General features: G+C 43.9%; 1 protein-coding gene across 15 annotated transcripts in view, besides 1 other annotated feature; it reads left to right on the forward strand.

The window, feature by feature from the left end:
* The window catches only part of XYLB (xylulokinase), a 106,257-nt gene that overhangs the window by 52,367 nt on the left and 36,898 nt on the right, over positions 1 to 16,992 (forward strand). For 11 of the 15 annotated variants that reach the window (NR_146068.2, XM_011534327.3, XM_011534329.3 and 8 more), the window contains one exon: positions 1,740 to 1,834. Coding sequence is in view for 14 of the 15 variants with exons in the window: in XM_011534327.3 (XP_011532629.1) it covers positions 1,740 to 1,834 (95 nt within the window). In the remaining variant the exon portion in view is untranslated. Of the gene's footprint in view, positions 1 to 1,739; positions 1,835 to 13,784; positions 15,835 to 16,992 lie in introns of those variants that run through there. The other 4 variants (NM_005108.4, XM_047449383.1, NM_001349179.2 and 1 more) reach the window with 1 other exon arrangement.
* Positions 6,643 to 7,143: an enhancer, noted in NCBI's record as "H3K4me1 hESC enhancer chr3:38447285-38447785 (GRCh37/hg19 assembly coordinates)". NCBI's record gives its function as "activates a minimal SCP1, AML or CMV promoter by ChIP-STARR-seq in naive H9 embryonic stem cells {active_cell/tissue: H9 hESC(naive)}" and the evidence as "EXISTENCE:reporter gene assay evidence [ECO:0000049][PMID:30033119]".

Here is a 16,992-nt window from a genome sequence, read left to right on the forward strand (position 1 = left end):
TGCAGTGGCGTAGTCATGGCTCACTGCAGCCTCGACCTCCTAGACTCAGGTGATCTTCCCACCCCCACCTCAGCCTCCCGGATAGCTGGGACTACAGGCACACACCACCACACCTGGCTAATTTTTGTAGATATAGGGTTTCGCCATGTTGCCCAGGCTGAACTCGAACTCCTGGGCTCAAGTGATCCCACCCACTTCACCCTCCCAAAGTACTAGGATTACAGGCATGAATCCTAGTGCTAGGATTACCGCACCCAGGCTGTATGGTAGTTTTGTTGGAATATACAACCTAAATAAATATTTTAAGAGAGAATTCAATAGGTGATGGTTTTGAGGCCTGACATGTCCAACAAGGCCTTTGTTTCATCCTCCCAAATACTGGCTGGGTAAAAGACTCTATGTTCAAAATACTTTTCCTGAGAACTGTGAAGATACTCTTCCATAATCTTCTGGCCTTCAGGGTTGCTGATGAGAAGTATGGGGTCTGCTTCATAATTCTTTTGTGGAAGTGGGAAAGGAGTTTCCCTTTAGGGACTTCACTGCCATCCTGCACTGTGTTTTGTTTTATTCTTTTTCCCTTTCTGTGCTTGCCAAAGGGTACCTGGGCCACTGCCCTGCTCTGCCCTCCAAAACCAAAGCCCGAGCCAAATCTTAGCTCACCAGTCCCTACCCAGAGGGATACTAACCACTTCATTTGGAGATATCTTCTCCCCATCTGGGTCTGGGGATGACTGTCTTGTGTAGCCAGTCTGCGAGTATGAGTGGAGATGGAACCAGAGTCTTTTGATTAGTTTCTCTGCTGTCCACCCCACCACCATTCCAGTCCCTCATCCATTCTGCTCTGAGCTGGGATTTTCTAGCATTTGGTTAGGAAAACTGGTCCTCACATCTTCAGAGGGCCCTTCTTCACTCCTGGTGGTGGTGGTGTTTGTATATCTGACGCTACTACCTACCTTCCCTAGAAATTGCTCATTGTTTCTTGCCCACCAATGGCAACCTTCCCCCTGCTACTCATTTGCTTGGTGAGTAATTATTGAGTGCCCCCTGTATGCCAGATGGTGTGCTAGGCACCATGGTTATAGTGGTGACCCGGAGAGACACAGTATCTGGCCTCGTGGACTTTACAGCTCAGCAAAAGAGGGATCTTAAACCAATAATCACTGAAATATATGGGCACAAGTTGGGAAAAGTGCTCTGAGGAAAAGCAGATGGTGCTGAGCGCTAAGGAGGGCCTCCTGAGCAAGTGATGGTCTTAGGTGCATCTTAGCTGAGGAGAAGGGAACAGGCATGTGAAGAGTGGAAAGAACATTCCATACAGTGAAAAGGCTCTGAGGCAGAATGAGTGGAGAGAAGACCAGGCTGTCCAGAATGTGGTGAACGAGGGGAGAGAGGAGGGGCAGGCAGACCCTTCCCCATCATATGTCGAGGTTACCCGACCTATTCCATGAAAGGCACAACCACAAAGAGAAAGACAAGCTGGGTCCTGCTGGAGACAAGCCTGCACTTGCCATTTTTTTGTTTTGTTTTGTAATTTTATTGAGGTACAATCTATATGACATAAAAATCATCCATTTTAAGTGTCCAATTCATTGATTTTTCATAAATGTACTGAATTGTGCAACCATCACTATAATCCAGTTTTAGAACAGTTTGCCACCCCAGTGAGATCCTTCGTGGTGTTTTTGGTTAACGTCTTCACTTGCAACATGCACTAATGTGAAGTGACCTTTCCCTTCTAGGTCTTGCAGGTGGAACAGATGTGCCCTTTTCAGAGGTTGTGAAGTTAGCTCCAAATCCCAGACTAGCTGCTACCCCAAGCCCGGGAGCTTCTCAGGTGAGAGACCATCGGAATTTGTTTGTAGCATTTGCATTATGAAAGCCCGCTAGGGTTTTTTCCCCCACCAAAAGGTCACCTACATTGAACGTGATGTGCTCAACTAAAGGAGAAATTCTGCTTTATTGAAATTATCAAGAAAATGGAGCTAAAGGGCCATGTTGTCAGCTGCAAGTCACAGATACTGCTGATTTTACAGCCAGGGTCAGATGGATTGCTGGGCATATTTGTATTGCTTCTTATGCCTCACGGTGGGCCCTTCCATGTCACTGGGCTATAAAAGCTACTGAAAGGATCCATCACTGAAATTCAAGACATGCTGGGTTTCTAGCACTGAAATCTCAAGTCTAGACCCAAGATAGCTGTGCAGTCACCCAGGCCAGGAAATCCCTGTGAAGGCAGACCTCACTTGTTGCAGGTTGGGTCCCTCAGAAAGCAGAGTCTGAGATGTCAACTAAGATATATGAGGTTTATGGGAGTCGGGGGAGTTGCTCTTGGAATCCACAACTGCAGAAAGGAAAGGGAGTAGACAGGATTGGACAGAGGGAGAAGGTGAGCAGCAATGCAATTTCTGGAGCCTAAGCTATTCCTACAGAAAGCTCCGAAGCTGAGATGACCTTTAGAGTTTTACCCAGTTGGTCTAAGGGGCTGGGCCTTTATACCCCATGTCAATCAGTCATCACATGTGGGCCACCCCAGGATGGGGTGAGGCAGCTCTTTATAGCTAAAGCAGTCTCCAAAGTGGGCTGTCAGCTGAGGGCTCTCTGCCAACAGCACTCCCATCAGTTGGGAGAATAAGTTCTTCATTCCCGAGGTGAATCTGGATGGCACACCATAGCATCCGCCACACCACTGCACCTATTTACAGAAGGGTCTGGCAGCCCAGCAGCAGGGGTGGGTGCATCTTGTAAGGAACTGTGAAGGGTCTGAGATTTACCTGACTTGCAAGCTAACAAGTGAGCCTGCCACCATTTTGTAGCGGCAGGCAGAAGACACGGGACTCCTGGATCAGAGACAAAGGGCTTTATTATGATGAACCATGATGAACTCATGGTTCATCAGGAAGCATGAGCTTCATGCTTGCCTCATTTTCCCTTGGCCCCCAAATTCCACAGGGTGATGCAAAGTGGGCCCAGGTGGATACTGGCACATAATAGTCTGTGATACAACTAAATGATCCCGAGCATAGAAAACTCCCAACCTTGTAAAGAAACTGCGAGCAAACCTGTCTAAACTTTGCCACCAAAGGAGACATTATCCTTTTTATTCTTGTCAGCAAACAGATAAACATTCTCTCCAGTGTCTCTGCCCTGGAGAGAGACACTATCTTTATGTCTCTATACTTTACAAACATCCTTGAAAAGATGGTCTGAAACGAAAGCTGTCATAAGACATGTAGAAACACTATGGAGAATTGTCTCCCAGCATATCTTGGAAGCAAGAGCTCATGCTGTCTAGAGCAGACAAACCACACACATAGGTGTGCCCAAGCATCTGTAATTTTTCTGTTTGTGAGAGGCTATTTTTCTCTCATGTTCGAGAGGCCACTCGATACACTGGAAAGATTCAATGTCGAGATAAAGGACATTTAAGTTCTGATTCTTATTCTGCTTCTCCTTCACCATGAGACCTTAAGCAGCACTCCTTGTCTCCAGACCTCTGTTTGTTTATCTGTGAAGTGGGCACACCATCTGTCCTGCCTCCCTTTAACTTGCTAATTGTGAGGCTTAAAAAGAATCCTTGACCAAAATGGCTTTATAATCTAATAGGAAATCTGGGGGTAGAATTGGTTCAGTGGTTCAACATGAGAACTCTGGTCATCTTCCCTGCAATTCCTTAGGTCAGCAGTGGACAATGGGAACATAATGTGAGCCACATATGTCATTTAAAATATTCGGTTGCCTCATTTTTTAAAGTAAAAGTAAAAATAAAAATAAATGATTAAAATTAATTTTAATACATTTTATTTAATCCACTATATCTGAAATATTGTCATGTCAACGTGATAAATTTGAAGTTACTAATGTGGGGCCGGATGCAGTGGCTCACACCTGTAATCCCAGCACTTTGGGAAGCCAAGGTGGGCAGATTGCTTGAGCCCAGGAGTTCGAGACCAGCCTGGGCAGCATGGCAAAAACCGTGTCTCTACAAAAAATTAAAAAATTAGCTGGGTGGGTATGTGCCTGTAATCCCAGCTACTCGGGAGGCTGAGGTGGGAGGATTACTTGAGCCCAGAAGGTGGAGGTTGCAGTAAGCCAAGATCACACCACTGCACTCCAGCCTGGGCGACAGAGACCCTGTCTCAAAAAAAAAAAAAAAAAGTTACTAATATGATATTTTACATTTCCTTTTTTGCATGAAGCTTTTGAAATTTGGTGTGCATTTAACACTTATAGTTCTGGGCATGCTTCAAGTATGCAAAGGTATACATGGCTTGCAGCTACTGTATTGGATAGTGCAGCTCTGGATGTGCTCCACATGGTGACAGGACAGCTATAGCTGCCCCAAACATCATGTCTTCACAGCTGTATTCGAAGGCAGGGATCAGAAGGTGACATTGGGCAGAGAGTCTCTCCTCACACACCTCTTGCTCATCAGGGAGAAAAATACTGGCCTATCCCTCCCCTATCCCACACACGCCCAACAGGCTACCACTTGGTCATATGGTCAATTCTGGTTGTAGGAAAGTCTAGGGTAGGGTCTGGCTCTTTCATTCTATCTAGAAGGAGGCCAGCAAGGAGGAAGATAACTGGGGAAAGTTTTAGGGCAGCACAGCAGCGTCTGCCTCATCTAGAGTACGGAGTGGCCAATCCTCTGAGCTGTATGTGCCTCATCACTCTCCCTGGCCTGCCCATGGCCGAAATCACTGACAACTCATGGAACCCTTTACCATTGGATCCAAATGTAACCTCAAAAGCCCACCCAACAGCAGGTTGCAAGCAGTGACAGTCTATATGATTGTCAGCGTATGTGACTTATATGCAGACTGAATTTGTGGACTAGAGTTAAACTTCTTGAGAGCAGGGCCACATCCTTCATTCTCTCTGTGGCACCTACAGCACTGCTTGTGCTCAAGGGGAAACTCAAAGCAGTAAGAATGTTTTCTCCCTTAGCTCAGCTGAACGTTGCAGTTTCTCCATGAGGAGAAATCAAAGCCCCTTAGCTTTGTTCTCTGACTCCTTAATGTCCAATACAGGCTAGGACAACCTTAGGCCCCTCGCCTGTGGGCCTCTTTATAAAGGGTCACCTGTTATCTTTTGCTTTATTTTACTCATGGGGTCTATTCCCAAGTACTTCACAAACACATAATTCACAGGGTAGAACCAGAACATCAGCTGTGTCACCCTCATTTGGAAGAGCAAAGGAATTTATCTCCCTAAGCCCTTCTAGGCAGCACAGACTTATCGTGGACTCAGAAGCCAGCAGGCTCCTTCTCTCTGGCTCTGACACCCTGTGTAACTGTCCCTGAGCCTTCTCAGACAGAGCTGCTCCAGCTGCACCAAGAGTAGGCCCCAGTTGCATAATCAGTTGTTAAAATACTTGGCTTCCAGCTGGGCGTGGTGACTCACTCCTGTAATCCCAGCACTTTCGGAGGCCGAGGCGGATGGATCACATGAGGTCAGGAGTTAGAGACCAGCCTGGCCAACATGGTGAAACCCCATCTCTACTAAAAAAGAAAAAAACACAAAAATTAGCTGGGTGTGGTGGTGCACACCTGTAGTCCCAGCTACTTGAGAGGTTCAGGCACGAGAATCACTTGAAACCAGGAGGTGGAAGCTTCAGTTAATCAAGATTGCACCACTGCACCTCCAGCCTGGGTAACAGAGTGAGACCCTGTCTCAAAAAATAAAAAAACAAAACTTAACTTTGGAGCAAATTAAACCAAATTAAGAAGGAATGGGGTTGGCATGAGCTCCTACTTGTGTTTACTTGCGAGTCGCAGGAAAATCCGGGTCCTTGGTCTTGTTGTTTGTCTGTAAGACAGCGTGTGCTTGCCTGAAGTGCATCTGCATTTCTCAGGTAAGATGGACAGCCACAGGGAAAACTGCTTAGGGGGATAAAAGAAGAGTAAGAATGTGGGGTTGTGTTTCTTTTTGGTCTTTTTTCTCTGTTGGGCTTTTTGTTTATTTATTTTGGCTTATAATGCAGCACATTGTATATATAATTTTGTAGCTTCTTTAAAATTTCTACATTACAAAATAAATATTTCATTCTTAAAAATGTATGTGCATACCATTTTTAATGACTGTATAATATTCTATCTGGGTAGACCAGGCACGGTGGCTCATACCTATAATCCCAGCACTTTGGGAGGCTGAGGCGGGAGGATCACTTGAGGCCAGGAGCTGGAGACCAGCCTGGGCAAACATGAGACCTCATCTCTTTAAAAAAAAAAAAAAAAAAAAAAAGCTGGCAGCCAAGATGGCCAAATAGGAACAGCTCGGGTCTACAGCTCCCAGCATGAGCAACGCAGAAGACGGGTGATTTCTGCATTTTCCATCTGAGGTACTGGGTTCATCTCACTAGGGAGTGCCAGACAGTGGGCACAGGACAGTGGGTGCAGTGCACCGTGCGCAAGCCGAAGCAGGGCGAGGCATTGCCTCACTCGAGAAGTGCAAGGGGTCAGGGAGTTCCCTTTCCTAGTCAAAGAAAGGGGTGACAGATGGCACCTGGAAAATCGGGTCACTCTCACCCTAATACTGCGCTTTTCCGACAGGCTTAAAAAACGGCGCACCAGGAGATTATATCCCGCACCTGGCTCAGAGGGTCCTACGCCCACGGAGTCTTGCTGATTGCTAGCACAGCAGTCTGAGATCAAACTGCAAGGCGGCAGCCAGGCTGGGGGAGGGGCGCCTGCCATTGCCCAGGCTTGCTTAGGTAAACAAAGCAGCCAGGAGGCTCGAACTGGGTGGAGCCCACCACAGCTCAAGGAGGCCTGCCTGCCTCTGTAGGCTCCACCTCTGGGGGCAGGGCACAGACAAACAAAAAGACAGCAGTAACCTCTGCAGTGTTAAATATCCCTGTCTGACAGCTTTGAAGAGAGCAGTGGTTCTCCCAGCACACCTCTGGAGATCTGAGAATGGGCAGACTGCCTCCTCAAGTGGGTCCCTGACCCCTGACCCCCGAGCAGCCTACCTGGGAGGCACCCCCCAGTAGGGGCAGATTGACAGCCCACACGGCCGGGTACTCCTCTGAGACAAAACTTCCAGAGAAATGATCAGACAGCAGCATTCGTGGTTCACGAAAATCTGCTGTTCTGCAGCCACCACTGCTGATACCCAGGCAAACAGGGTCTGGAGTGGACCGCTAGCAAACTCCAACAGACCTGCAGCTGAGGGTCCTGTCTGTTAGAAGGAAAACTAACAAACAGAAAGACATCCGCACCAAAAACCCATCTGTACATCACCATCATCAGAGACCAAAAGTAGATAAAACCACAAAGATGGGGAAAAAACAGAGCAGAAAAACTGGAAACTCTAAAAAGCAGAGCGCCTCTCCTCCTCCAAAGGAACGCAGTTCCTCACCAGCAACGGAACAAAGCTGGATGGAGAATGACTTTGACGAGTTGAGAGAAGGCTTCAGATGATCAAACTACTCTGAGCTACAGGAGGAAATTCAAACCAAAGGCAAAGAAGTTAAAAACTTTGAAAAAAATTTAGATGAATGTATAACTAGAATAACCAATACAGAGAAGTGCTTAAAGGAGCTGATGGAGCTGAAAGCCAAGGCTCGAGAACTATGTGAAGAATGCAGAAGCCTCAGGAGCCGATGCGATCAGCTGGAAGAAAGGGTATCAGTGATGGAAGATGAAATGAATGAAATGAAGTGAGAAGGGAAGTTTAGAGAAAAAAGAATAAAAAGAAACAAGCAAAGCCTCCAGGAAATATGGGACTATGTGAAAAGACCAAATCTACGTCTGATTGGTGTACCTGAAAGTGACGGGGAGAATGGAACCAAGTTGGAAAACACTCTGCAGGATATTATCCAGGAGAACTTCCCCAATCTAGCAAGGCAGGCCAACATTCAGATTCAGGAAATACAGAGAACGCCACAAAGATACTCCTCGAGAAGAGCAACTCCAAGACACATAATTGTCAGATTCACCAAAGTTGAAATGAAGGAAAAAATGTTAAGGGCAGCCAGAGAGAAAGGTCGGGTTACCCACAAAGGGAAGCCCATCAGACTAACAGCGGATCTCTCGGCAGAAACTCTACAAGCCAGAAGAGAGTGGGGGCCAATATTCAACATTCTTAAAGAAAAGAATTTTCAACCCAGAATTTCATATCCAGCCAAACTAAGCTTCATAAGTGAAGAAGAAATAAAATACTTTACAGACAAGCAAATGCTGAGAGATTTTGTCACCACCAGGCCTGCCCTAAAAGAGCTCCTGAAGGAAGCACTAAACATGGAAAGGAACAACCTGTACCAGCCACTGCAAAATCATGCCAAATTGTAAAGACCATCGAGGCTAGGAAGAAACTGCATCAACTAACAAGCAAAATAACCAGCTAACATCATAATGACAGGATCAAATTCACACATAACAATATTAACTTTAAATGTAAATGGACTAAATGCTCCAATTAAAAGACACAGACTGGCAAATTGGATAAAGAGTCAAGACTCATCAGTGTGCTGTATTCAGGAAACCCATCTCATGTGCAGAGACACACATAGGCTCAAAATAAAAGGATGGAGGAAGATCTACCAAACAAATGGAAAACAAAAAAAGGCAGGGGTTGCAATCCTAGTCTCTGATAAAACAGACTTTAAACCAACAAAGATCAAAAGAGACAAAGAAGGCCATTACATAATGGTAAAGGGATCAGTTCAACAAGAAGAGCTAACTGTCCTAAATATATATGCACCCAATACAGGAGCACCCAGATTCATAAAGCAAGTCCTGAGTGACCTACAAAGAGACTTAGACTCCCACACAATAATAATGGGAGACTTTAACACCCCACTGTCAACATTAGACAGAACAACGAGACAGAAAGTTAACAAGGATACCCAGAAATTGAACTCAGCTCTGCACCAAGCGGACCTAATAGACATCTACAGAACTCTCCACCCCAAATCAACAGAATATACATTTTTTTCAGCACCACACCACACCTATTCCAAAATTGACCACATACTTGGAAGTAAAGCTCTCCTCAGCAAACGTAAAAGAACAGAAATTATAACAAACTGTCTCTCAGACCACAGTGCAATCAAACTAGAACTCAGGATTAAGAAACTCACTCAAAACCACTCAGCTGCATGGAAACTGAACAACCTGCTCCTGAATGACTACTGGGTACATAACGAAATGAAGGCAGAAATAAAGATGTTCTTTGAAACCAACAAGAACAAAGACACAACATACCAGAATCTCTGGGACACATTCAAAGCAGTGTGTAGAGGGAAATTTATAGCACTAAATGCCCACAAGAGAAAGCAGGAAAGATCCAAAATTGACACCCTAACATCACAATTAAAAGAACTAGAAAAGCAAGAGCAAACACATTCAAAAGCTAGCAGAAGGCAAGAAATAACTAAAATCAGAGAAGAACTGAAGGAAATACAGACACAAAAAAACCCTTCAAAAAATTAATGAATTCAGGAGCTGGTTTTTTGAAAGGATCAACAAAATTGATAGACCACTAGCAAGACTAATAAAGAAGAAAAGAGAGAAGAATCAAATAGACGCAATAAAAAATGATAAAGGGGATATCACCACCGAGCCCACAGAAATACAAACTACCATCAGAGAATACTGCAAACACCTCTACGCAAATAAACTAGAAAATCTAGAAGAAATGGATAAATTCCTCGACACATACACCCTCCCAAGACTAAACCAGGAAGAAGTTGAATCTCTGAATAGACCAATAACAGGCTCTGAAATTGTGGCAATAACCAATAGCTTACCAACCAAAAAGAGTCCAGGACCAGATGGATTCACAGCCGAATTCTACCAGAGGTACAAGGAGGAACTGGTACCATTCCTTCTGAAACTATTCCAATCAATAGAAAAAGAGGGAATCCTCCCTAACTCATTTTATAAGGCCAGCAGCATCCTGATACCAAAGCCGGGCAGAGACAGAAACAAAAAAGAGAATTTTAGACCAATATCCTTGATGAGCATTGATGCAAAAACCCTCAATAAAATACTGGCAAACCAAATCCAGCAGCACATCCAAAAGCTTATCCACCATGATCAAGTGGGCCTCATCCCTGAGATGCAAGGCTGGTTCAATATATGCAAATCAATAAATGTAATCCAACATATAAACAGAACCAAAGACAAAAACCACATGATTATCTCAATAGATGCAGAAAAGGCCTTTGACAAAATTCAACAATGCTTCATGCTAAAAACTCTCAATAAATTAGGTATTGATGGGACATATCTCAAAATAATAAGAGCTATCTATGACAAACCCACAGCCAATATCATACTGAATGGGCAAAAACTAGAAGCATTCCCCTTGAAAACTGGCACAAGACAGGGATGCCCTCTCTCACCACTCCTATTCAACGTAGTGTTGGAAGTTCTGGCCAGGGCAATTAGGCAGGAGAAGGAAATAAAGGGTACTCAGTTAGGAAAAGAGGAAGTCAAATTGTCCCTGTTTGCAGATGACATGATTGTATATCTAGAAAACCCCATTTTCTCAGCACAAAATCTCCTAAAGCTGATAAGCAACTTCAGCAAAGTCTCAGGATACAAAATCAATGTACAAAAATCACAAGCATTCTTATACACCAAGAAGAGACAGAGAGCCAAATCATGAGTGAACTCCCATTCACAATTGCTTCAAAGAGAATAAAATACTTAGGAATCCAACTTACAAGGGACATGAAGGACCTCTTCAAGGAGAACTACAAACCACTGCTCAATGAAATAAAAGAGGTTACAAACAAATGGAAGAACATTCCATGCTCATGGATAGGAGGAATCAATATCACGAAAATGGCCATACTGCCCAAGGTAATTTATAGATTCAATGCCATCCCCATCAAGCTACCAATGACTTTCTTCACAGAATTGGAAAATACTACTTTAAAGTTCATATGGAACCAAAAAAGAGCCCGCATCGCCAAGTCAATCCTAAGCCAAAAGAACAAAGCTGGAGGCATCATGCTACCTGACTTCAAACTATACTACAAGGCTACAGTAATCAAAACAGCATGGTACTGGTACCAAAACAGAGATATAGATCAATGGAACAGAACAGAGCCCTCAGAAATAATGCTGCATATCTACAACTATCTGATCTTTGACAAACCTGAGAAAAACAAGAAATGGGGAAAGGATTCCCTATTTAATAAATGGTGCTGGGAAAACTGGCTAGCCATGTGTAGAAAGCTGAAACTGGATCCCTTCCTTACACCTTATACAAAAATCAATTCAAGATGGATTAAAGACTTAAATGTTAGACCTAAAACCATAAAAACCCTAGAGGAAAACCTAGGCATTACCATTCAGGACAGAGGCATGGGCAAGGACTTCATGTCTAAAACACCAAAAGCAATGGCAACAGAAGCCAAAATTGACAAATGGGATCTAATTAAACTAAAGAGCTTCTGCACAGCAAACGAAACTACCATCAGAGCGAACAGGTAACCTACAAAATGGGAGAAAATTTTTGCAATCTACTCATCTGACAAAGGGCTAATATCCAGAATCTACAATGAACTCAAACAAATTTACAAGAAAAAAACAACCCCATCAAAAAGTGGGTGAAGGACATGAACAGACACTTCTCAAAAGAAGACATTTATGCAGCCAAAAGACACATGAAAAAATGCTCACCATCACTGGCCATCAGAGAAATGCAAATCAAAACCACAATGAGATACCATCTCACACCAGTTAGAATGGCAATCATTAAAAAGTCAGGAAACAACAGGTGCTGGAGAGGATGTGGAGAAATAGGAACACTTTTACACTGTTGGTGGGACTGTAAACTAGTTCAACCATTGTGGAAGTCAGTGTGGTGATTCCTCAAGGATCTAGAACTAGAAATACCATTTGACCCAGCCATCCCATTACTAGGTATATACCCAAAGGACTATAAATCATGCTGCTATAAAGACACATGCAGACATATGTTTATTGCGGCACTATTCACAATAGCAAAGACTTGGAACCAACCCAAATGTCTACAATGATAGACTAGATTAAGAAAATGTGGCACATATACACCATGGAATACTATGCAGCCATAAAAAAGGATGATTTCATGTCCTTTGTAGGGACATGGATGAAATTGGAAATCATCATTCTCTGTAAACTATCGCAAGGACAAAAAACCAAACACCACATGTTCTCACTCATAGGTGGGAATTGAACAATGAGAACACATGGACACAGGAAGGGGAACATCACACTCTGGGGACTGTTGTGGGGTGGGGGGAGAGGGGAGGGATAGCATTAGGAGATATACCTGATGCTAAATGACGAGTTAATGAGTGCAGCACACCAGCATGGCACATGTATACATATGTAACTAACCTGCACATTGTGCACATGTACCCTAAAACTTAAAGTATAAAAAAAAAAATCTGGCAAATTTTTTGCCAGAACTGCAATTTACTCGAACATTTTCCTTGCCTTAGTACAGTTGCTTTTAGTTTTTCAATTATAATTAAGTCTTCTTAGATAAAGGATTTAAAAAAAAAAAAAACCCTTTCCTATTCTACATGAGAATTTGACCTTTGGTTAACTTTCTAGCTCTGTTTTCCTTGAGATCTCATAAAAGTGGACTATCAACGGTTTTACTAGGCAACATTGCTTATGTAAAAATGGCCTTTGCTTGGGAAACTGCATCTGAACTGAGAAAACCATAACTACCTGGTGAGAAGTCTTCCTCAGGGCCTCCTTGAGTGCAGTGACTCCTCCTGGTCCTGCCTCCTACCTACTAAGTTGTTACAGGAGATACTTTTGTAGGGCATATGAGGTTTTGAAGCCAGGGTCATTCTTTTGTCTGTATGATGTGGATCTCAACTCTTTTTTTTTTTTTTTCTTTTTTTTGAGACAGAGTCTTGCTCTGTCACCCAGGCTGGAGTGCAGTGGTGCAATCTTGGCTCACTGCAACCCCCGGCTCCCAGGTTCAAGTGATTCTCCTACCTCAGCCTCTCGAGTAGTTGGGATTACAGGCACCTGCCACCACACCCAGCTAATTTTTGTATTTTTAGTAGAGACGGGGTTTCACCAGGTTGGTCAGGCTGGTCTCAAACTCCTGGCCTCAGGTGATCCACCCGCCTTGGCCTCCCAAAGTGCTGGGATTGCAGGCATGAGCTACCATGCCCGGCCAGATCTCAACTGTTTGTGCCTGGGCTGTAACCTGGTTGGGAGGCAAAGAGACCCTCTCCTGGACAGCTGTGTGAACTGCTGTATGGACTGCTACATGGTCTTCCATTGAGAGGAGCACCTCCTGCCACTGTGTTTCTCCAGGCTGTCTTCCCTTGGCTCATGGTGGTCTTATAAGTCTGAATGTTTAGTGGTATCAAAGAAGACCCTTGGTGGACTTGGCATCCTACATTTAGGATTATTTCCTTAGGAGAGCTTCACCAAAGTAGAATAACTGGGTCCCATACTATGGGCTCCTTAATACAGATATAAAGTCAAGTCTATTTCCCAAAGAGTTGTATCACCAGCTTTCACCAGCTGTGCAATGAGGCAGCCATTTCTAGGTACTCTCACCAGAATTTTTTTGAAATTTTGTAGATTTGATCATAAAAATTGGTTTCTTGTCATAATTTACAGTTTTAAAAAATCTTAAACTGTAGGTTTGAGAACTGCTAGCATTTCCTCTTTTGTGAATTGATGCTTTCTTTCGCCCAGAAAAAAAGTTAAATTGCAAGTAAACGGGATTTAAAAATTTTAAATTGCAAAGTGCAACCAGATGTAAGAGGCATTTTCCCCCTCTGTTCTAAACTGCTTTTTCTGCCCTTCTAGGTCTACGAGGCCCTTCTCCCCCAGTATGCCAAACTCGAGCAGAGAATCTTGTCTCAGACCCGGGGGCCTCCGGAGTGAACAGGCATCCCTGTTGCCCCTGCCTGCCCAGATTTACTGACCCCATTTGTCGACATGGCCCCAGACAGGAGGGATCCACTTCTCTGTTCTGAACAGCTCTTCCTGCCCCTACTGACTCCTTGGAGTGTCCAGGACCATCTTAAAGCCGCCCTCAGCACATCTGCATGAAGATAGATAGGCACTCCTGTCCCTGTGCCCGTGTGCCCCAGGGCAGGAAAGCATCTCTCTTTTCCTGTCTTTTATCCCAGGAGGCAGGACAACACTGAGACTGGGATATGTCCAATAAAAACTATGACTTTTCCCCTTGCAGAGGCAGAATTAAAGCTAATCTAGGGACTCAAATCAGCAGAATGGGGGAGACAAAGCCCGGTCTCACCCCCTAACCTCATCCTATCTCTTTCTCCAACCCTGACTGCCCACTCCTCCACAAACCGTGACCCATAGCCGCCCCCACCCCATACCTTGATCTACCATCCATCCTCTTCCCCAATCCAAACCCCACAGTCTCTTCTCTCCCACACCCTGCCCTCCTTGTTTCAGCTGTCTGAGGTGCCTCGCAGGGCCTCTCTTACTTGCCCCATGCTCACCCTTTCCATGCTGTCCCCATTCTCTCCTTTCACCATCTCTCCTCTCCCCCTCCTTCATCTCTCCTCCCTCCCCAAACTCACTTGGCATAATTCACAACCTCCCACCCAAACAATGGGCCTGGTGGACGTGCTTCCTGTGCCCTCCCTTTAGCTATGCCCACAGATCACTGAGAGGGACCATCTCCCAAGTGGTGCAGTTTAGAACTTCTCTCCCTTTTTCTCCCTCATTCCCTCTCTCTTCTTGCAGTCCACTTGCTGAAGAAGTTGTGTCATTTCTCTGGAAGAATTTCCAAAATTCTGGATTTCTTTTTTATTTTGGAGTATTTCATCAGCTGAAAAGTGATTCTCACTTTGAGTTTTCTTCCTATATTTGTATAGTGAGTTCCTTTTTCCTTCCTCTTTATCCCTCCTGTTTTACTTTATACCTCTCTATTCCTTGCTCAAATTATTGCAAAAGCCTCTATAGAAAGTCCTCTGTGATCTGACTCCTGCAGACTCTTCCAGATTTTTCTGCCCAAGGCCTTTACTGAGCTCAGGACTCCAGCTAAATCAAAATACGCATGTTCTCACCCAGAGTGACAAAATCCTGCAGATAGGTTTAAGACCTAGTGGCTCAGAGCAGTAGCTACTGGGAAGTTAAAAGGAAGGGGCTTAGAAAATGAATGGGACCAAAGGCATCACTTCTGATGGAGATGAAGCCATCTTGAAAGTGAGTGGTGTCCTTTGGAGGCATGGTGGATGAAAGGCGCAAAGGAAGCAAGAGGTTAAAGATAATGGCCCATTAGATACAACAGCAAGCCCAAGATTCCGAAGAAGACAGACAACTCCCCCTAGTACCACCTAGACATTACTTTTTAAAGACATTTTACATTATTGTCCAGCAGAAAAAGGCTGTCTTGGACCATGAAACAGTAAACTGTAACTAAACACTTCAACATGAATTTGAAAATAAATAATTGTGGATATAAAAGAACACCAGAGATCAGAAATTCAAAAACTCAGAATAAAAATGAAAAAGCTACAAGCATATATGAGAAGAGAACTGACTGAACTTGGGAAATAATTTGAACAAAAAGATAAATCTTCACAGATATGAATACTAAATTATATCTTAATGAAAATAGATATGGTCACAAGTACATTAAGGCACGTAGAAGGTAGGAGTAAGAAAAGCTAAGAGAAGCAAAACAAACAAAGCAATATTAAAGGAAGAGCCAAAAAGACCCAGAAATAAAATGACAGATAAAGAAGATTGTCAAAGAAAAGATGATACAGGTAAGATTGGAACTCATGAAGACAAAAGATAAGACAGTGGCATAGAGTTAATATTTAAAATTCAAATATTAAAACTCAAATAAACCCCAAAGAACTTTTGGAAAACAAAAGAAAACCTTAAACTTTATCTTGAAAGGGTCTATCTTGTTACTTAGAATATTGAACCAGAATGATTAGCTCTGAGACATAGCCTACCAACTATACTTTGAAGCCAAAGAAAAAGAACTATGTAAGCCTCTAGGCCAAAAGACCTAGTCTCTTACAAAGGAAAGACCTGGTTGGCCTCAAACTTCTCAACAAAGCAAGATAGCAATGGGGCAACCTTTTCAAGAAACTCAAAGTATGAACTGAGGATTTCATATTTCACCAAGCTGTCCTTTAAGTATCAAGGATATAGGAAGAAGTTTTAATTACACAAGAGCCCAGGGACTATTATACTCACAACTTCTTCCTTAGAATTCTACTAAAAGACAAGCTTCATCCAACTAGATGATTGGGGAAACTTGAGCAAAAGGACTGGACATGACCATTGAATATCTTTGTAGATCTGAGGCCAAATGGAAGTGGGGATAAGGGTGGAAGAACCGTATTAGTCCCTTCTCACACTGGTATAAAGATAGTACCCAGCTGGGAATGGTGGCTCATGTCTGTAATCCCAGCACTTTGGGAGGCTGAGGCAGGAAGATCACCTGAGGTCAGGAGCTCGAGACCAGACTGGCCAACATGGTGAAACCCCGTCTTTACTAAAAATACAAAAATTAGCTGGGTATGGTGGTGCACGCCTGTAATCCCAGCTACTTGGGAGGCTGAGGCACGAGAATTGCTTGAACCCGGGGGCAGAGATTGCAGTGAGCCGAGATTGTGCCACTTCACTCCAGCCTGGGCAACAGTGAGACTCTGTCTCAAAAAAATAATAAAGATAGTACCCAAGACTGGGTAATTTATAAAGAAAAGAGGTTTAATTGACTCACAGTTCCACATGGCTGGGGAGGCCTCAGGAAACCTACAATCGTGGCAGGAGGTGAAGGGGAAGAAAGGACCTTCTTCACATGGTGGCAAGAAAGAGAGAGCATGGACGCACAAGAGAGCAAGCAGGGAAAACTGTCTTATAAAACCATCAGATCTCGTGAGAACTCTCTATCATGAGAACAGCTTGGGGGAAACCACCCCCATGATCCAGTCACCTCTCACCAGGTCTCGCCCTCAACACCTGGGGATTACAATTCAAGATGAGATTTGGGTGGGGACAGAAAGCCTAATCACATGAA

The sequence above is a fragment of the Homo sapiens genome, chromosome 3, assembly GCF_000001405.40.
Source record: "Homo sapiens chromosome 3, GRCh38.p14 Primary Assembly".
In the NCBI taxonomy this organism is placed as follows: Eukaryota; Metazoa; Chordata; class Mammalia; order Primates; family Hominidae; genus Homo; species Homo sapiens.